The sequence below is a fragment of the Homo sapiens genome, chromosome 12, assembly GCF_000001405.40.
Source record: "Homo sapiens chromosome 12, GRCh38.p14 Primary Assembly".
NCBI classification, from domain to species: Eukaryota; Metazoa; Chordata; class Mammalia; order Primates; family Hominidae; genus Homo; species Homo sapiens.
In genome coordinates this window covers 18,518,207-18,541,273 of record NC_000012.12, presented here as the reverse complement: position 1 = coordinate 18,541,273, position 23,067 = coordinate 18,518,207, and the positions used below count along the sequence as shown (strand labels likewise).

General features: G+C 36.7%; 1 protein-coding gene across 14 annotated transcripts in view; it reads right to left on the bottom strand.

Annotated features, from left to right (window-relative positions):
- The window catches only part of PIK3C2G (phosphatidylinositol-4-phosphate 3-kinase catalytic subunit type 2 gamma), a 483,857-nt gene that overhangs the window by 185,544 nt on the left and 275,246 nt on the right, over positions 1-23,067 (bottom strand). For all 14 annotated transcript variants that reach the window (XM_047429007.1, XM_017019471.2, XM_047429008.1 and 11 more), the window contains one exon: positions 2,962-3,118. In XM_047429007.1, coding sequence (XP_047284963.1) covers positions 2,962-3,118 — 157 coding nt within the window. The remainder of the gene's footprint in view (positions 1-2,961; positions 3,119-23,067) is intronic.

Below are 23,067 nucleotides of genomic sequence, written 5' to 3'. Positions count from 1 at the left end.
GGAGACATGCTGCTCTTTACTAAGGATGAGCCATTAACTCTGTAGTGGACCCACCAAATGTCTGTGGCCCATAATCCTGGGGACTGATCATTTGCACAAGATAGAATTTATGACCCATGTCAAGTATTTCTCAAGTTGTAACTGGGTCATGGTAAGTAGACTGAATTCTTTTTAAAGAATTTAACATAAAAGAGTCGGGTTGAGACAGAATTAATGAATAGATTACATACATAAGTAGAAAATAGTCTTTCACAAATTTAAACTTGGTTTTATTTTATAAGAAGCTATACCAAAGAAAGGGTGGTCCTGAAACTTTCACTAAATGCTTTGATGATCTACAGTCCCATAAGATAACACAGTTGAGAAGAAGAGAGTTGAGAGGTAAATGAACAGAAACTGAGGTAATAACACAGTGCTGTTTTACATGTATTTATTCATTAGTTTAATTGGTCCACATTGCTTCTGATCTCTATTTCAATTTCTGTGAGAGCCTAAATCTAAGATTATATGTTTACTCTGGATTAGTGCCTTCCACTGCCAAATTTTCTTCCTTAGCCTAAAAGAGCTGAATAATTAGAGCATAGAAGTTTTTTTGGATATACTATATTCCAGAAATTTTCAACAAGTGATTAATGATAAATTATTTTAATACTTATGAATAAAATACCACAGTTACTTCTTTTAAATAAAATACCACTATACATTCTCTTTGGTGATTGTTTAACATATCATGACTCTTATGCTGAATGCTTTGTTAAGGTATGTAGAAAAGTTTATTAAACAAGAGAAAAAAAGCCCACTGATAGCTTTCTGAAAGAGCTGTTCTTTCACATTATTTTAACATGCTCAGTTTTCATCAGCATAATTTTAGTGTCACCTGAGAAACAGCATAACTTATATTTGTGCTTTTCTGTTTTGGGTTTATTTTTGAAATATCTGGAGCAGGTTAAAGCAATTGTTAAAATTGGGTACTATTCCTCACATGTAGTTATTTATATCATTATAGGCATTTAGAAATGCTGGATACCTCGGTCTTTTATGTAAATAAATTTTATCTTCCTCATTAAGTTGAAAATTTTAAGACTCTGGGTCTCTTATGTTAATGTATCCTTGCAATTTCTAGCCTGTGGTAAACACTCAAGAGCTCATGAATTCATGAGCTAGAGCTTGCTAGAGTCCAAGGAGACATAGACTTGATACTACCTGGATATTTATTATTTAAATGGGGTCAGAATCACAGACTTAATCCTTATAGGGTTTTTTTGTTTGTTTGTTTGTGGTACAGACACATTATAAACCGTAGTCATCTCATACTTGCAAAACGGCCTAATAGAATTGGGAGATAGAATGCAAATTTACCAATAAGAATCCTTGGCTATTACTGAAAAGTAATCTTGAAGATTTCGGAGATGGGTAGAACTTTATATATCCACTTTACACAAGAAGAAACCAATATCTTTGCATATGAAGGACATGTTTATAATATTTTTAGAGATACTTATCTTTCAAGGCAAAGTGGAGAGAAGTAAGGTGAATATGTTGTTTGAAAGTTAAAACAAGAATCCAAATCAAATCTTCCTTGCAACAAAGTCAACATTTGTTCTGTACTAACCAATGGAACTTTTCTGTGGTGATGGAAGTTTCCTATCTGTGCTGACCAATATGATGCCACTAGCCAAACGTGGCTACTGAGTACTTGAAATGTGATCAGTGAAATTGAAGACTGGAATTTTAAATTTTGTTTAATAAAAATTAATTTAAATATAAACAAACGTGACTAGAGGATATTACATTGGACAGTGGCCTTATAAATTAACAAGGATCTAGTATAATAACATAAATGAATTGAAGTCTACTAAATGGCAAGTACTGTGCTAAGTGCTTTATGTTAATGATCTGTTAGGGTTGTTATGAATTTTAAATCAATTAATACACACAAAGCACTTAGCACAATGCCTGGGCCATGCAAAGAATTCACTACTAGGTCATTTATTCATTAACTCTACAAGGTAGATGTTGTTATCTTCATTTAACAGATAAGGAAATAGTCTTTTGGGGGTTAACATGTCCTGAAGAATGTAGCCAGTAAAATGCCAAACTAGGATTGAAACCCAGAAAGGTCTGCCTGCCATGTTTGTACCCTTAACAACATCTGGTAGAATTATTGTCATCTGGAAGCTCTAAATCAGTTATTTTTCATAGACTCCAAATCCCATGCTGATAGACCAAATGTATGTTTCCCATGTATAGTTTGCTGCAATCACTAGTGTGTACGTATGTGCCTAGAGGAATCACTATATCCCTCTCCTAGAAGATATTTCTATCAGATTTTTCTTCCCTCATGGTACATATCTGGTCTCCATCTCTTTAAAGTGAACAGTGGAATAAAACCTTAAATTTTCCCCTGTTGGTCACAAGAGAGTGTGTAGGACCATGACTCAGTACACCTAATGCATACCACGAAAAGCTGAGTTGCTAGCAACTCACTTTCCACTTTTGACTCTCAGTTTCTTAATGTGGGAAATTGGCAAGTGATCAAAGGTGGAGTTTGGAATGGACAGCCAGGGAAAATTCTTGCCTGGTCTACACTATTAGGTTGTCATGATATATAAATGAGATAGTATATATAAGGCATTTTTGAAAGATCCTAATGCCTAGTATGACTGAAGGCATTATTTTTAAAATTACTGTCCTTGAACATTAGTCAAAATATAGTGGGATAACCCCTACCTGCATCAATATTGATACGAATAGGAATGTTTGAGACAATAACTATGAACGAACATATTAAATTATTAAGAAATACGTTTATAAGCTGTACAATGGTACTCTTAGTTTTCTCATTCCTTTCTCTTCCGAATAGCTCCTTGGGGAACTCCAAGCCATTAGTAAAAATAGACTACTGAAGCAGAGGCATAAATGAAGCTTATTATTTTTGTTTTTTTTTCCCAAGGGACTTACCATTTCCAGCAGGTTCAAGAGCAGTTGGCTGTGCTTTCTGATAATATTATAAGCACGACAGCAAAGTTCCACAAAATCTTGAAAATGCTGTGGGTTTTTCCCACCCTCTGTAATAAAGTATTCCATCTCTGAAGTAAAAATGAAAGGAGCTCGGTCCCTGTAAACCAAAAACAGTAGCAATCATTCGAAGGAAGAGAAATGGTTTGTCAGGTTAAATCAGCAGTTATAACGACTTATTTTCATTTGAATTTTCTTTTTTTTTTCTCTACTGTAATAGATAAATTTCCTTCATTGTGAGGCAGCTTGAGAAACTGCATAATTGTAGGCTTTGAATAACCATGCTGCAATAGAGAGAAAAGGATAAGATATTTTACAATGTCAACTATATTGTCTGAAATGTTTAATTCTAAATTACATTTGGAGGGGAATATTATTCATTAAAAGTAACATAAAGGCCAATTCATAGTGAAGCTGATATTTATAGAGTCTTTATAAAAAGTACATTTTCTGCTAAATTTTGATATGATCGAACAGATGTGTTTGACCTTATAGTATTAAAAAAAATTTCCTTGTATGATGACCCTTTAGGAAAAAAGTTTCTGGTAAAAGCTAAGAAGCAAGCAGATGTTACCAATTCACTGGCATATGCTTAGTGAAGGAGAAAAAAGGTAGCTATATTTTATTTCACACTGGACCCAGTAAAAACGCTGGTCAGAAAGGAAGATATGAGTAGACCATATCATTATGTAAGTAATACTGACCACTGTAGTCTAAGGATGGAAAAATAAGAAAACAAAAGACCAGAGAGAAGATGGTCCCACGTCCCCCACCTTTGTCAGTTTTTTTATCATGTCATTTAAGATACGGATAGGGCTGAGATGAAATATTAGCAATTCTAACAGAGAATAGCAGAGAGAGGATTGGAAACATCCCTGTTGGAGGAATTACCACTCATTGAATAAGAACACAGAGTTTTGATACCTTAGGCCAATTTGACACTAATTTGGTGAAAGGTTAGACCAAGTAGCAATTTAAAAAGTCATGGATTATTGAGGGAAATTCTTATTTTTGTTTTAAATAATAAAACATAATTGTTTTCTTTTTGTTGCTTATGCTTAGCTATTTCAGTAAAAATACAATGGAGTGAAAAATTTCACTGATCTGACAGTTAATGAGACCTTTCAGTAGTGTGGATATTTATATCAGAAAGCTACAACTTCGTCAATTTGTGGCAGGTTTGGGACAGGGGGGTCTAATTGCAGGCAAAATCTTTAAAATAAAACAAACACTCGAGTTTTTTGGCTATGATTATTTTATTTAGAAACTTTATTTTGTAATCCATGCTACCACAATGCCTGGAGGAAAGGCTGGAATACCAGTACCTTCACTTCTGTTTATATTCATTCATTTCTTCAACAAAATTTATTGAGCACATACATACACTGCGGACTATGTCTAAAGTATCAGGTCTAAATTTTAAAATTTTGGTTCAAAATCCTTTTTTATTTGGCCTTCATTGACTTATCCAACCTATATTCTATGAATTATTTTACAAGTTCTTGACTTTAGCCAAGCTGGGAGAAGAGATGTTGAAAACATGAGATATAGCATAGGTTCTAATTCTGGACCTGCTATGTCTCAATCCTTCATCTCTAAACCACCTAACTCTTAGAATTGCTGTGAGGATTAACTTAGGAAATGTACATGTACATAAATGCCTGACACATAGGGAGGGTGGCACATTTGTGAACTGCTCACATTAGAGAGAGGCTTTTGCAGAGGCACAAACTGTGGGCCTGTGAACCAGGTTTCAAATCATGGCTTCACCACTTAACTATAGTAGTTCTATGACTCTGGGTGACTTAATCTCTCCGTTCTCTAATCTCCTTCTTTGTAAAATGGAGATAAGAGCACTTGACTCTTGGTATGGTTGAGAGAATCAAATGGGTCATAGCATGTGCAAGTGCTTACAACATAGCCTAGCATGTAGTAAGCACTCACCAAATTTTAAATAGTATTGTCTGCAAACAGCCAAGTGTTCTCATAGCTGAACCTTGTTATCACTAAATTTCCTTGTCTCTTCAAAAATCTATCAGAAAAATCTCATCCTTATTCCAAGATTTAATTTACTCTGTTACTCCATGTAACCTCTCTTGCTGCATAAACCCGTAAGTGGATCTTTGAATTTGATAGCATTTTTTTAATTATACTTTAAGTTTTAGGGTACATGTGCACAACATGCAGATTTGTTACATATGTATACATGTGCCATGTTGGTGTGCTGCACCCATTAACTCTTCATTTAACATTAGGTATATCTCCTAATGCTATCCCTACCCCTCTTCCCCCACCCCACAGCAGGCCCTGGTGTGTGATGTTCCCCTTCCTGTGTCCATGTGATCTCATTGTTCAATTCCCACCTGTGAGTGAGAACATGCGGTGTTTGGTTTTTTGTCCTTGCGATAGCTGATAGCATTTTTTATATATTGCTCACTCACTCATCACTATTGCCAATATTTTAGTAGAGTTTTAGCAATATCATAGATTTTCATAATCAGAAAAATATCTTAATTTTATATGTAACAGTTTTCTAATAGTTTTTCCACCCTACTCTCTATGCTGTGTTTACTATATCAAGTAGAACTTCGGAAATAATTTTAGAAGAGTATTAATTTTTTACAACTTCCTGAAACTTTTTCTCCTAATATGATGAATATACTTTTCTCTTTTCAATAAGGAGAATTATGATGGATCAAATTAATTTCTCTTGGGAGGTTTCTGTAGTTATGCTCAAGTTCATGAGATAACACATTTCTTTTGTCCATAGTCACCATTATTAGAAATCAGATGCAGAAACACCATAACAGAAAGTTAAATACACAAAAGAAACATATACAAATTAAATAAAATATAAAGTAATATTAAAGAAACAAATTTTAGTTGTGCTTAAACATTATCATAGTCTAAATTTTCAGTAGATCCAACAAAATAAAATTCTGTATCTTTTCTATATGATTTTCATGGCTCACTTCTGAGCAATTTTTTTAAACCTCAGAATTACCCTAAACTTGTCTATAAATGAAAAGAAACTTCATATGTGAAACAAAATCCCATCTATTCCTGTAAGATGTAGAAATTTCAGTTAGGATAAAATTTATCAGTCCACTGAAATGTAAACCTATTCCTATGTTATAGAATTAATGTGTTGGAGTTTATCTCTGAAATTTAAGCATTACTTATAAATCTGAGGTATAAATTGGTTGTGACAAAAGGGAATATTCTAAATTTGATCTCTCATGGTCTATACTGTGATTATATTTTGAATTATATATTGAAAATCTTATTTATAGCTATAAAAATAAACTATAGATATTTCTTGCTGTGACAATCCTAACTTTTTTTTTCTAGATTAGTGGTTTTACCTTTGCTTACCAAAGTCCCACCTGTTCTTGCTTCTGTACCTTTTATTCATATTGTAACTACTTTTTTTTTTTTTTCATCTCTCTCTTTCTCACCTGATGTTCTAAAACTGATTTAGATATCAGGACCAAAAATCTTGTCTTATTAGTCTTCTCCAATTAACCCAAACCTTGTCAGGATCAGAAGCCTTTCTTTTTTTTTAATCCAAATGACCCGTATGATTTTCAAGAGCAGAGGAAGTAGTCCACCTTCCTTTTATATAGTCTTAACATCAGAAACAATATTTTGATGTTATTCTCTTACATGCGATGAATGCAACAATAAATAAACATAGCTCATATAGTGAAGAGCTTGTAACAATTTGACATTTATTTGGGAAGGCCATAAGTACAAACATATTTGTAACGATTCTGTCATTTTTGTTGTCAAAATTAATATTTTCATTAACTTATGACCATTTTTCCCTGAAGTTATTATTATTTTTAAATGCAGAGAGTGATTATTTTACAGATTTCCAATAGGGGTGAGAAGTGAGTTGGTGGTTTAAAAATGTATATATACTTAGAAATGTAAGAACACTTATATTACGGATAATAATTATTAAGCAGACAAATAAATTCACTTGATGTAAGAAATAGCAAGAGGCTGGGCATGGTGGCTCACACCTGTAATCCCAGCACTTTGGGAGGCTGAGCAGGGTGGATTATCGGAGGCCAGGAGCTTGAGGCCAGTCTGAGCAACATGGTGAAACCCTATCTCTACAAAAAATACAAAAGTTATCCAGGCACAGTGGCACACACCTGTAATCCCAGCTACTCGGGAGGCTGAGGCACAAGAATTGTTTGAACCCTGGAGGGGGAGGTTGCAGTGAGCCAAGATTGTGCCACTGCACTCCAGCCTGGGAGACAGAGCAAGGCTCTGTCTCAGAAAAAAAAAAAAAAAAAAAAAAAAGAAATAGCAGGACAATTAATAGTTTGCTGTTTATTACTTTCACATGTTTTCCTTCTAGCCATACTGTATATATAATCTCCTTGTATAGTCATTAGAATACCAAGATCATTATCATTAAGCATTTGCAGATCACCACTGAACTAAAGATATGTAGAGTTTTAGGGTATATTTCTGTCTGTTAGGTGAATTGAATCTAATCAGGGAGATATACACTGTAGTTATTTATCAACAAATACTGGGCTTCTATAATAGATTTGTGCAAGGCTTGTGAGGTGAAAGATTTTAAAAAATCAATGTTCTAAAAGCATTATAAATTTATTAAATAAGAACAATAGTGTTTTGAAAAGATTACTCCACTAACAATACAGAGAAGGGTTTGGAGCAGGAAGGGTATATATGAGCAGATCAGACAAGAGACTTTTGCAAAACATTTTGACCAGATATGATAGTAGCTTAGATTAGAGTTGTGGCATACAGATAACAGAGAAGTGGGAAGACTTAAAAGCATATTTCAGAGAAAAAAAAATCAATAGGATTTCACGATAATTAGAATGAGAGGGAGAAGAGGTGCCAAGAAGAACTTTAACTTTTTCCCTTGTGTAGCAGGAAGACTGCAGTGCAACATTTGGAGGTAGCTGAGCTTTGAGCTTAAGTTATATTTGAGGTGGCTTTGAGACATACAAATGCAGATTAAAATGAGGGTACTCATTTCTGGACCATGGAGAAAAGATTTAGGTTGGAGGTAAAATTTTGTGAGTGAAACTTCTGATTCTGGGAAGATGAAGTAGGCATATTTTTCCTTGTTCCTCCCACTGAGTATATTAAGAACTCTGGAAATTATATACAAAGCAAACATAAGGTGACTCTGACAGGCATAAAGAAGACAGACTACCTAGGGATGTCAGGACTCAAGTAACAACATGGAGGTGAGTTTTCTGGGTTTTCTTTTTTGCCTCATATATTCTAGGCATGAAATACATGCTGCTAAAGCAGGCAATTCAAAAAGCCCCAAAGAAAAGCCTGCTTTAAAGGGGCAGCTGAAAAAAAAAAAAAAAAAACAGCAAACTTTTAGATTGTAACCACTCTACTCCAGTTAAATATCAGGGAAGACACTGTGACACCACTTCTCCCCTACACCAGCCAAGGGCAAGGTAGGCAGCCAACACTCCCACTCCTACCAGACTGTGATGTGGCACTTCAATCCCCCACAGGGTACTGTCAGAGACAGTTCAGTAAGAAAATTGGTATTGGTGGCAGAATACACATAGGCTAATGGAACAGAATAAATAATATAGAAACAGACCCACACAAATACATGCCCAACTGATTTTGTACAAAGTTGTAAAAGTAATTCAGTGAAGACAGGTTAGCCTCTTGAACCGATGATACTGGAACAATTAGACACCCATATGTAAAAATATAAACGACCCAAACTTCATACCTAATACAAAAATTAACTTACAATGGTTCACAGACTTAAATATAAAATGTAAAGTTATACAACTTTTAGGAAAAAAAAGGAGAAAGTCTTTTACATTTAGGGCTATGCAAAGAATTTTAAAATTTCAACATGTCTGTCTTGTGAAAAATAATAAGGAGATGAAAAGACAAACTATAGACTAGAAGATAATATTTGCCAACACATAGCCAGCAAACTGCCAGTATCTGGAGTGTCTATTTTAAAAATTCTCAAAATTTAACCATAAAAATCAAACAATATAATTAGAAAATGAGCAAAAGAGATAAAGAGATGTTTCACAGAAGATGACTTGCAGATTGTAAATAAACATATAAAAAGATGTTCAACATTATTAACCACTAGGAAAATGCAACTTAAACCCACAATGAGATATCACTACCCACCTATCAAAATGGCTAGATAAAAAATAATAAAACAATACCAAACACTGGCAAAGATGTGTAGAAACTGGATTACTCACACATTGCTGGTGAAAATGTGAAGTGGTATAGTCACTCTGGAAAATCACTTGGCAGTTTCTTAAAAACAACAACAAGATACAACTACCATACAACCCAGAAATTATACTTTTGGACATTTACCTCAGAGAAATACATGTTCACAGAGACTTACAAATGAATTGTTTGCAATAGCTTTATTCTTAATAGCCAGAAAATGCAAACAACTAAGATGTCCTTCAATGGGTGAATGGTTAAACAATACATGGTACATACATATTAAGAAATGTTATTTGTCAATAAAATAACATAATTTTGAAAACACAACAGCTTGAATTAATCTTCAGAGAATTATTTTGTGTGAAAAGAGCCAATCAATAAAAATTGCATACTGCATGGTTCTATTTATATAACATACTTGAAATGACAAAAACATAGGAATTGAGAACAGATTAGTGGTTGTCAGGGGATAAGAATGAAGTGGGGAAGAAGGTGAGAGGGAAGTGAATGTGGCTACAAAAGGGCAACCTGAAGAATCTGGAGGATGAAATTGTTCTGTATTTTGAATGTATTGATATCAGTATCCTGGTTGCAGGAACTGTACTGTAATTCTGTAAGATGTTACCATTGGAGGAAACTAGTAAAGGATTTATGGAATCTCTTTGTATTATTTATTACAACTGCATATGAATCTTCAATTATCTCAAAATAAAAAGTATTATTTAAAATATATTTTTTTATTGTGAGTTATCTGGATATAGATATTGATAGAAACCTTGACATAGATAATATATATAGATGATAACAGTTTGATGGAAACTGTAGAGTGAGATGAGAAAAGCACTAAGACAAATCTTGGGAAATCAATCTTTTGGTAACTTGGTAGAAGGAAATAATTTTGAATTAGATATCAAGAAAGGGAGAAAAACTAGAGGGTGATGATACATTACATAAGGCATGTGAAGAAGATACTTTGAGGAAGGAATAGTTAACATTGTTGAAATTTGCAGGTAAATCAAATAAAATGATGAATAAGTATTTTTAGGTCTAGTATCCCAAAGGTGTATTATTCCATTCTCACACTGCTATAAAGAAATACCCGAGACTGGGAAATTTATGGAGAAAAGAGGTTTAATTGACTCACAGTTCTACCAGCTGTACAGGAGGCATGGATGGGGAGGCCTCAAGAAACTACAATCATGGCATAAGGTGAGGGGAAGCAGGCACCATCTTCACGTGGTGGAGCAGGTGAGGGGGAAGTGCTACACATTTTTAAACAACCAGTTCTCATGAGAATTCACTGCCTATCACAAGAACAGCAAGGGTTAAATCCACCCCCATGATCTAATCACCTCTCTCCAGGTCCCTCCTGTAACATTGGGGATTACAATTCAACGTGAGATTTGGGTGGGCACGCAGAGCCAAGCCATATCAGGTCATTGTTGATCTTATCAAGTAATGAAGAATAAAACCAGATCAAGTGGTTATGGATTGAACAAGAGGTAAGGAATGGAGATCAAGAGTTTATAGACAACTCCTCCAGGAAATTTGTGAAGGCGAGCAAAATGGCATGAAGCCTGGAGATTTTGAGGCAAGGTTATTTAAACTTTGGAGAGACAAGCTTATTTAAAAATATTATTTGAGAGGGAAAGGATAAATATTCAAGAAAAATGAATTATTGATAGTACAATGTTCATCAGAAGGTAGGAGGAGAATGGCTTCAAAGCACAGATGGAAGGACTGACTTCAGAAGGGAAAAACAGGTCTTCTATTATAAGAGAAAGGAAGAAGAGTGTGTGAGATTTTTATTGGGTAGAAAAGTAGACTCTGTTCTGATGATTTTATTTTTCTCAAGAAAGTAAGTATGGTCATCTGCTTAAAGCAGGGAGTTGGTAGGAGTGATCTGAGGTTTATGCTTGAGAGGTTAGGGTGCCAATTGTTGTAGAGAGTGAAATAGTGGGATGGCCACAGACATGTGCCATTGCTGGGCCATGAGGGTGCCTCATTTTAAACTAGTGACATGTTTGCTCTGGCATGTGGTCTTAGAGCCCTTGGCTGCTGTGCATAGAACAGAGACAACAGATGGGTGGGTTGTGGCACTTGGTTATCTTCTGCTTCCACATTTCTGTTCATAATATGTTCTGCTCTAGGCTGTCTTTCCCCCACCTTTCCCACAAATTCAAGTCCAATCCTTTCTTTAAAATCCTGTTCATATTGCACTTCCTCTTGAAATCTTTCCAATAGCACCAGCCCTCACAGTGGAAATGGCCATATTTTAAAACACAATATTAAAGAAATGGACAAGGATGCTAATTGTAATAAATGAACTCTGAAATAGCTGAGGAGCTGTATCCTTAAAGTTATCAGCCTTTTATTTATTGAATTATTCTTTAAACAAATACATACGTACTCAAAAAATGAATGATGTTTGATTTTCAAGTGTTACCTACATAAGCTATTTAAAAACAAAATAATTCACAGAGGCAGTTTCCTCAAATGTGAATTATGCGTCTAGATAATACCACTGGGTTGCTTCCCAACAGTTCAGGGTGGTCTTCAGACATACTAATCTCAATAGGATAGACTCTGGTAGGCTCTGAAATTAGAGTAAAATATCATAAATGTTTAACTTACATGAGCTTAACTGTACCTATTAGATTTTTTTTAAAAAAGTAAGAAAAATCTTAAAACAGAGTAAGCAATTCTGCCTGCCTTTTCACTCAAAGAGAAAATGCCCAATGATGAGAAAGTGATCCTGATACTTTAACACTTGGACTTAGTTTTTGCATGCCTCTTGCAGTGCAACCACCTTTCATGACATTTAATTGTAGTTTTTAAAGGTATGAATTTAATATACATCAGGGTCATAAATGCAAGATGCTAACTAAAGAAACAGTCATCTATCCCAATGCTGGAAAAAGCGTAGGCTGTGTTGGGATTATCGAGAAATGGGAATATCATGGCATCTTCCAAAGATTCTACCATCTACTTATTACCTACAACTTTGAACAAATTTTAACAACTAAGACTTCTCTCTGTCTCAGTTCTTCATTTGTGAAATAGAGAAAATAACAGTATCTACCTCAAAGAGTTTCTGTAAGAATTAATGCAGCTAGTGCATAGCAAGTACATATGAGACTTTAAAGGGTATTTTTGACCATTTCCTTTATAATCTGATCTTCTTCACTTGACGATGCAGCACCATGCTACAGGGCACTTGATTGTGCCAGGCCAGTGACAAGCTGCACCAAATCCAGAGCAATTTGAGAAGAGCTACATGTTTGATATTCATGATAGAGGCAGGGGATATGGAGATATGGAAAGTGGAATGAAAAGATAGAACTCTATCAATAATTCGTGATAGTAGAATTAGTCTGCTGGACTCTGTGAACATAGATATTTCTTCCTCTTATAGTTTAGTTTATCCAGTATTTTATTTGAGCAACTGATAAAGTCAGTAAATAAAAGTATGCAAGCTTAAATCCCAAACTGAAAGACTTGAGTGTTTGAATAATACATTTGTACCCCAAACTAAAACTTAGTGGGACTTAGTAATAAGGCACATTTTGTTTTTATTATTAACATTATTTGTATTAATTCTTTGAATTTCAACTATTTTTATTCCTAGGAAATATAATAATAACATTAATGTATATTGTTTAAAGATTTCTAAAAGTTGTAGACTCCCATAATAGTGAATGGGAATAGAAATAATGACTACAAAGCACATTGGGGAATGTTTAAGCTTATACTGTTCTTGATATCACAAATGACCTACATTTCAGAGAGCACATTTTGCTGTTCAGCAGAAAGAACACAAGTCTCTTGTCTAATATCCATGAGTTAATTGAGAAGGCAAATTTGGAATCTCCATTGGATAGGATAGAACATTAGATAATTAAGCAACACAGAAAACCTCACATGTACAATATGATGAGAACATGAGAGTGCATGTACTATTATAGAAAGAACATTTAACACCCTGTGAGATCTCCAAGCTCTCTGCAATTATTAACTAAGGACAGCCTTAGTTAGTCTTTTAAGTGTAAAACAATTTTTTTTCCTGGTTCAGTCTCTTGTAAATGTAATGTGTGTCCTAAATTAGACCCCTGGAAGTCCCTGATCATCAATAGATTAATAACTTTAGTTACTAACTCTGGTTCCTCTCAGGCTCAAATACAGCATCTCTCTTATTTGATAAGGGTGATTAAAACAACTATTTCTTCAAAATTATCAAGTCTCCTTTCCTAAGTATAATATATTGTGTCTGAATTCATAGTAGATCAGAATTTCATAAGACAAAAAGAGGCTGATTAGATCCTTCAACTGCCCACTTTTTTTTTTTCTTTGAAGTTGAGTTTAGAGGAAAGAGCTCTTTGAGGAAAGAGCACAGCTATGTTTCGCATGGAATTCCAGTCTATACTTGAAACAGAAGTAGTCTAGTCTGGATATGAGGAAAACATTAACAATGCTATAACTCTTGGGTGAAATTGCATTTTAAATACACATTAGTTTCTAAAATCAGGTTGAAGGTGAAAATCAAGAACAGCCTAAGTTAGCTGTAAAAACATTTAAATAACCCATAAAGTTACCATGTGCATAATCAAAATGTATGTATGAGGCATTGAATGTGCATATTATCTCTTAATAAATTGAACCCCATAGTTGTTTCCCCCAGCAACAGAAGTGGGGCACTATTTCTTTAGTTGGATACTACATAAAGTTCTTATACTAAGCTTATGTTTAGGAGACATTTGTATTATTCTACAAATTTAGTCTAAAACTGAATTTAGAGTCAACGCTATGAGATCCTTATATTGGCAAGCACATTGTACCTTAGACCAGCTGAGGAATCAGCATTCATGCCTTCCATCTTATGCTTGCTTTGTTCACAATGGGGCATTGGCTTACTGAGTGTGAGAGGGCAGAATCCTTACACCATGTAAGTGGATCCTTCCTTTGTTCTTTTATTTCATCTCTCTCACAAACATTTTTCCCTTCTCAGTCATCCTTTACTCTTTTCATCTGAAAACCCACAAAGTCTCTCTTTGGAGAAAATTTATTTGTCTTATCAGAGAAACTGTTTTTACTTATAATCAGGGGTTGATATAAGGGAGCTATTCAAAAGAAATCATGCAATAAAACAGTAGAACGATGAGGTAAAGTCAAAAAGGGAGAAGTAATAGTGAGAAGATGAGATCGATAAAACAAACTTTGTTTCTTGAAATGGTCCGTGTGAGTAAGTGAGAGCGCTTTGTAACATCCAAAGCACTATTTAAATGTGAGGTGTAGTTTGCCTAGGAATGGCTCTGTGACTGGCAGAAGACTTCATCCTCACATGAAGAGTAACCATCAGGTTAAAAAACAAAACAAAACCAAAACAAACAAACAACAAACAAAAAACCCTTGGTAAATTTCCAGCTAGGGTTACAGAATATAGCACGTTCTTAATAAATTTATATTTAGAAAAATCGTACCCTCTCAGGTTCTTGGGTCAAGGAAAGTAAACGTGATGACATTTTGGAATGATCCTACAATCAACTGAAATTGAACCTCTGCTCTATGCTTGGTGCTTAGGCTACAAAGATATCCTTAAAACACTCACAGTTGGAGAGATACTGGAAAGTATGTTTCCTTTCTAGAAAACTCAGATGATACAAAGGCCTGCTGTGAGTAAAAAGAAACCACCATGTTTCTGAGAAAGCAATTGTGAATAACAGACCAATGAGAATCACCTAATTTCAAAGAAAACTAAGGTAGTAATTAAAGCATGAAGGAGATTATTATTACCTATCATTTGGATCACTGTGAATATTGTACTGAAGGAGAATGATTGGAGTAAGACACAATTACTCCTTTAATCTGTTAAGGGAGTTTTTTTGTTAAAAGATAGTTTTAAATTGGGAAGATTTAGAATATAAGTACTGTAATACTCAAATTAGAAATTAAATTAACTTTTAAAAAAATCAGTGGTAATTAACTATTGAAAATAATATCAAAATGATTATAAACACAGGGAATTTTTGTGAATAGTATTGGGATGAAAATGCTGAGATTAATTATAGTAGGTAATTTGTTGTCTATTGGGATAAAACTTATAGAGTGTTTAAACAACGTTGTGATAAGACTGATATATGATATTTTGATCATCTGGGTGTAAATATTTCAATAGGAAAAGAACAGAGGTTGATTTTTATTTTGCTGAGTTCTGGAATCATTTTCTATGTCTTTAAAGTGGATTTATGTCCTGTTATGCAGTGATGAATATTTAATAGCTGGCTTACTTTGTTTCCTTAGGAAAAAAGCTCTGATTTGTGGCATTTGCCAATTTTATGTGGTGTAAATACTCCCATTATGGGTGATTTTAGGGTATCAATGTGATGTCATTAAATACAGAATTGAGAAGAAGGACACACAATTGGCTCTCGCAAAACAGTATGGGCCAGGTTCAGCATACCTCTGCTTGTATCTGAAATTGTATTAGAAGTTAGGGATGACTTGATGAAATACCTCCCAATCTAAACCTGACAAAAAGTGTGATCCAGTCTGTCAGTCAACAAGCCTCAAACTCAGAGAACTTAAATGACTAATAGTTCAATTTATGAACTTCGATATACAGATTTTTTTTTTTGAGATGGGGTTTTGCTTTTGTTGCCCAGGTTGGAGTAACAGTGGTGCAATCTTGGTTCACTGCAAACTCTGCCTCCCGGGTTCACGCGATTCTCCTGCCTCAGCCTCTCGAGTAGCTGTGATTACAGTTGCCAGCCACTATGCCCAGCTAATTTTTTGTATTTTTAGTAGGGACGGGGTTTTATCATGTTGGCCCAGCTGGTCTCAAACTTCTGACCTCAGGTGATCCACCTGCCTTGGCCTCCCAAAGTGCTGGGATTATAGGCATGAGCCATCAGGTCTGGCCCAATATACAGATTTTTTAAAAATAGCAAAAATAAACTTAGATAATTTTAAATAAAAGAAAAAACAATTACCCAGAGATGTAACTAATTTCTCATCACTTCATTTGGAACACTTACATTAATTGCAACAAACTTTTATAAAGCCCTCACTTAGTGCTGGACATTCTTCTAAGAATTTTACTGATATCAATTCATTTAATCTTCAAAAAAAAATCTGTTTTTTAAACAAGAAAACTGAGGCACAGGCCGGGTGGGTGGCTCATGCCTGTAATCCTAGCACTTTGGGAGGCCAAGGCAGGTGGATCACCTGAGGTCAGGAGTTTGAGACCAGCCTGGCCAACATGGCAAAATCCTATCTCTACTAAAAATACAAAAAAATTAGCCAGGCGTGGTGGTGGGCACCTGTAATCCCAGCTACTCAGGAGGCTGAGGCAGGAGAATCACTTGAACCTGGGAGGCGGAGGTTGCAGTGAGCCAAGATTGCGATGTTGCACTTCAGCCTGGGCAACAAGGTTGGAACTCCGGCTCAAAAGAAAAAAAAAAAAAAGAAAACTGAGGCACAAAGAAGCCACTAGTTTAAGGTCACACCATTAACATATACTAATACAGGATTAAAATAACACATTGGAAGAGTGACATCAACAAAGTGACAAAGATTTCTGTGGCCTCACTACCCCCATACCCAGAAATTCAATTAGCAACTATCCACAGGCGAGAATACCACCCTGAATATCCTAAAACTTGAGAGTGAAGCTGAGACACCCTTTGGACTGCAGAATCTAGAAGGGCTATGATTACACAGTAAAAGAAATGGTTCTCTTTGATTGTGTCACCGCTCCTTCAAGCTAGCACAGCATCATCCACAGATAATTTCCCTGGACTTGCAGTTTCTACAGAGACAAATGTGAGTTGGAGGCACACATTCAGTCTTCCCACTTTTCTGGGACCCTTTGCAGGAGGCTCACTCCTGTCTTGTCTCAAAGGAAATGCTAGGAGTACCAACAAGGTTAAACCACCTGGGCTCATTTAGAAAAAAAGAAAAGGAGTGGGGCTCTCAGCCACCAGCACACAGATTGTGGGGGTTGCTCTTCATCTGGCCAGTGGAGGTGCCATACCAGAGAGACTAGCAACAACATTATAATGGAGAAAACATAGTTCATGGATATTTCATGGTCCAATCCTTAGACAGCTTCCCCACACAGCCCAGATGCTCTCACAAGTCTTCCCAGGGTTGACAGGCAACTGTAGATCAGTGATTGCCCATGGAGAGAGTATCCGAACTTGCTCAGTCCTACCAGTGGAGAGGTAATCCCCTAAGTTTCGGTACTCAAATTTAAGTTTTCCCCATACTGGGGAGGAACTGCAGATCAGTGATTATCCACAGAGTATCTGGCCCTGCCCAACTCTGGCCATGAAGAGGTGATCCAACTAATTTCAATGCTTGCATTAAGTCTTTCCCAGACTTGAAGGCAACTGCAGATTAGCAGTTACCCATGGAGGGAGCATTTGGCCCTACCCAATCCTAGAAATGAACAGGTAATCCAACTGAGCCCAATGCTCTTGTTGTCTTCCCCATGCTAGGAGGCACCTACAGATCAGTAATTACCTATAAATGAAGTATTTGGTCCTGCACAACTTTAGCTGCAGAGCAGTGATCCTACCAATGTTGCTACCAGCTGGCCCAACCAGAATTCTAGGTTATACTAAATAGTACAGCTCTATCACCATCAAAAAACACAAACAATGACTGGAAGAGGTGATGATGTCCTCACATATGCAGGCACTAATATAAGGACACAAGGATTATAAAAAATCATGGAAATATGACACTGCCAAAGGAAACTAATAAAATGCCAGTAACAGACCATGAAGAAATGGAGTACTATGAAATGTCTGATAAAATATTCAGAATACTCTTAAAGCAGTTCAAGGCACTAAAAGAAAATTCAGATAGAAAATTAAATGAAATATGGAAAACAAAAGAATACATCTTACAAAGAAATATAAAAAATACCAAAAACCCAAGTAAAAATTCTAGAGATAAAGAATACAATAACTGAACTGAAAAAGTTATTAGAAAGCTTCAATAGTAGACATGATCGAGCAAAAGAAAAAAACAGTGAGCACAAAGACAGGACATCTGAAATTATCCAATCAGAGAAACAAAAAGAAAAACATAATGAAAAAGAATGAAGAAAGTTTATGAGAATTAAGAGCCACTGTCAAGTGAACTAACCTTCAAATAGTAGGAGTTCCTAAAGGAGAGGAGAGAGAAAAGGGCCTAGAAAGCATATTTAATAAAATAATGATGAAAAATGTCTCAAATCTGAGGAAAGATGACAATGTTCAGATATAGAAAATTCAGAAGTCATCAATTAAATTCAACTCAAAGAGGAAATCCCCAAGACATCACACTCCAATTATCAAAAATCAAAGGTAAGGAAAGAATAATAAAAGCAACAACATATAAAGAAGATATCACATTCAATGGACTACAAATATGACTTTAAACAGATTTTGCAGCAGAGACCCTGCAAGCCAGGAGAGAATAGGATGATATATTCAAATTGCTGAAGAAAAAAAAAAAAACCTGCCAACAAGAATACTTTACCTGGCAAAGTTGTCCTTCAGAAATGAGGGAAAAAATAAAAGCTAATGGAGTTCATCACCACTAGCCCTGTTTTACAGGAATTGCTAATGGGAGTTATTTAAGCTAAAATAAAAGTCTGCTAATTAATAACAAAAAACAAATGAAAACGAGAAAAAAAGGCTCAATGGTATAAGTGATGCATATCCATACTCAGAATTCTCTAACACTCTAAGGGTGGTGTGTAAAGCAGTTTTAGAGAGTTAGAAGAAAAAGCTATTAAAAACAACTGCTGAAGTAAATTGTTAAGAGATACAAATTAGGGGCAGGGCCAAGATGGCCAACTAGAAGCAGCAGCTATCAGAGGCTTCCATTGAAAAGAACCATAACAGTGTGCAAATCCTGCACTGGCAATTAAGGTATCCAGGTTCTGTCATTAGAACTGAGTAGGCAGCTGGTGTGACCCACAGAGAGGAAGGAAGAGCAGTATGGTGCAGTGGGCCACCTGAGAGCCACATAGGGCAGGGCAGCCCCCACCCCCCAGCCAAGGGAGGCAGTAAGTGAGCGTGCTACCCTGCATAGGAAACCATGCTTTTTCCATGGAACTGTGCAACCCATGATTTGGAAGATCCCACACCACTGGGGCCTAGGGTCCTAACCATGGAGCCGCACAGATTCTCAACAGCCACTCGGCTAAAATCTGCTTAAGCCTGCTGAGCTCCTGGGAGGAGAGGTGGCCAGCACCACAGCTGCAGTTGCCTGCTGTCTAAGCCCTGTGAGGTCCTTGTGGGAAAGGCGGCAGTCGACACTGGGATAGAGCTACCTAACAAACTAAGATCCCAGGGCGGGGGATGGGCGGCAGCCATCTCTATAGCTCCAGGCTGCACTCCCCCTTCCTAACCCCCCACCCCTCCTGGCTGGAGCCAAGGAGGCTGGAAAGCTTGGTCTCAAGAGGTATACCCCACAGCCCAACACACAAGCTATGGCAGACTGTGGCCAGAGTGCCTCTTCATGCCTGACCCTGACCCACTCCTACTCACTGGGCAGGGCCTCCCTGTAGGAACTCCAACAACTCCAGCCAGGGGCTTGGGGACAGAACTCTGATCTCCCTGGGCCTGAGCCCCTAAGAGGACGGGTAGCCACAGATTCGGCAGGCCAGCAGACCTAGTCTTTCCTCCTGCTAGTTCTGAAGAATTGGGCAGCCCATATGAGTGGGTTTTCCCCACAGTGAAGCACAACCCTTCTACCACAGGACAGTCAAAGTGCTTCGTTAAACGAGTCCTGCTCCCCATGCCACCCAACTGGGTGAGACCCTCCAACAGAGGTTGTCAGACACCCAATACAGGAGCATTCCTAATGGCATCAGGTCAGTGCCCCTCAAGGTCAGAAATCCCAGGAGAAGGCACAGGCACCCACCTTTGCTGTTCTCCAGCCTTCTCGAGTGACATCTCCACACATGGGAGTTACCAGATGAATAGAGCCTGAAGTGAACCCCCAGCAAACTGCAGCAGCCCTACAGAAGAGGGACCTGACCATTAAAAGAAAAAAAACAAACAAACAGAATGCAACAACAACAGCATCAACAAAAAAGGTCCCCACAAAAACCCCATCCAAGGGTCAGCAGACTCAAAGATCGAAACTAGACAAACTCACGAAGAATTTGTGAGTTTGTCTCATGAAGATGAGAAAGAATCAGCAAACAAACGCTGAAAATCCAAAAGGCCAGAGTGCCTCATCTCCTACAACTGACTGCAACACCTGTCCAGCAAGGGTGCAGAACTGGACAGAGGATGAGATGGAAAAATTGACAGAAGTAGGCTTCAGAAGGGGGGTAATAGCAAGCTACGCTGCACTAGAGGAGCATATTCTAACCCAATGCAAAGAAGCTAAGAACCTTGATAAAAGGTTACAGGAGGTGCTAACTAGAATAACCAGTTTAGAGAGGAACATAAATGACCTAATGGAGCTGAAAAATACAGCACAAGAACTTCGTGAAGCATAAACAAGTATCAATAGCTTAGTTGACCAAATGGAAGAAAGAATATCAGAGTTTGAAGACTATCTTGCTGAAAGGAAGGCAGACGAGATTAGAGAAAAAGAATGAAAAGGAATGAACAAAACCTCCAAGAAATATGGGACTATGTAAAAAGACCAAAGCTATGACTGATTGGAGTACCTGAAAGAGAATCAGAGAATGGAACTAAGTTGGAAAACACACTTCAGGATATTATCCTGAAGAACTTTCCCAACCTAGCAAGACAGGCCAATATTCAAATTCAGGAAATTCAGAGGACACCACTAAGACAATCTCTGAGAAGATCAATCCCAAGACACATAATCATCAGATTCTCCACGGTTGAAATGAAGGAAAAAATGTTAAGGGCAACCAGAAAGAAATGCCAGGCCACCTACAAAGGTAAGCCCATCAGACTAACAGCAGGCCTCTCAGCAGAAACCCTACAAGACAGAAGAGAGGGGTGGCCGATATTCAACATTCTTTTTTTTTTTTTTTTTTTTTTTTAGTATTTATTGATCATTCTTGGGTGTTTCTTGGAGAGGGGGATGTGGCAGGGTCATAGGATAATAGTGGAGAGAAGGTGAGGGATTTCATCACCACCAGGCTTGGAGGAGCTCCTGAAGGAAGCATTAAATATGGAAAGGAAAAACCGGTACCAGACACTGCAAAAACACACCAAAATATAAAGACTAATGACACTGTGAAGAAACTGCAGCAACTAGTGTGCAAAATAACCAGATAGCATCATGATGACAGGATTAAATTCACACATAACAATATTAATCTTAAATGTAAATGGGCTAAATGTCCCAACTAAAAGACACACACTGACAAATTGGATAAAGAGTCAAGACCAATCGGTGTGCTGAATTCAGGAGACTCATCTCACATACAAAGACACATATGGGCTCAAAATAAAGGGCTGGAGGTAAACTTCCCAAGTAAATGGAAAGCAAAAGAAAGCAGGGGTTGTAATCCTAGTCTCTGACAAAACGGACTTTAAACCAACAAAGATCAAAAAAGACAAAGAAGGGCATTACATAATGGTAAATGGATCAATTCAACAAGAAGAGCTAACTATTCTTATATATGCACCCAGTACAGGAGCACCCAGATTCATAAAACAAGTTCTTAGAGACCAACAAAGAGACTGAGACTCCCACACAATAATAGTGGGATACTTTAACATCCCACTGTCAATACAACGAGACAGAAAATTAACAAGGATATTAAGGACTTGAACTCAGCTCTGGATCAAGTGGACCTAACAGACATCTACAGAACTCTCCACCCCAGATCAACAGGATACACATTCTCAGTGCCACATGGCACTTACTTATAAAATTGACCATATAATTGGAAGTAAAACACTCCTCAGCAAATGCAAAAGAATTGAAATCATAACACGATCTCTCAGACCACAGTGCAATCAAATTAGAACTCAGTATTAAGAAACTCACTCAAAACCACACAATTACATAGAAATTGAACAACCAGCTCCTGAATGACTCCTGGGTAAATAGTGAAATTAAGGCAGAAATCAAGAAGTTCTTTGAAACCAATGAGAACAAAGAGACAACATGTCAGCATCTCTGGGACACAGCTAAAGCAGTGTTAACAGGGAAATTTATAGCACTAAATATCCACATCAGAAAGCTGGAAATATCTCACATCAGCACTCTAACATCACAATTAAATTAAAAGTGCTAGAGAAGCAAGAGCAAACTAATCAAAAAGCTAGAAGACAAGAATTAACTAAGATTAAAGCAGAATTGAAGGTGATAGAGATACAAAAAACCTCCAAAAAAATCAATGAATCCAGGAGCTTGTTTTTTGAAAAAATTAACAAAATAGATAGCTATCTAGAATAATAAAGAAGAAAAGAGAGAAGGATCAAATAGACACAATAAAAAGTGATAAAGGGGGTATCAACACTGACCCCACAGAAATACAAACTACCATCAGAGAATACTATAAACACCTCTACGCAAATAAACTAGAAAATCTAGAAGAAACACATAAATTCCTGGACACATACACCCTCCCAATATTGAACCAAGAGGAAGTCAAATCCCTGAATATACCAAGAACAAGCTCAGAAATTGAGGCAGTAATTAATAGCCTACTAACCAAAAATAGTCCAGGACCAGACAGATTCATAGCCGAATTCTACAGTGGTACAAAGAGGAGCTGATACCATTCCTTCTGAAACTATTCCAAACAATTTAGAAGGTGGGACTTCTCCCTAACTCATTTTCTGAGGTCAGCATCATCCTGATGCCAAAACCTGGCAGAGGCAC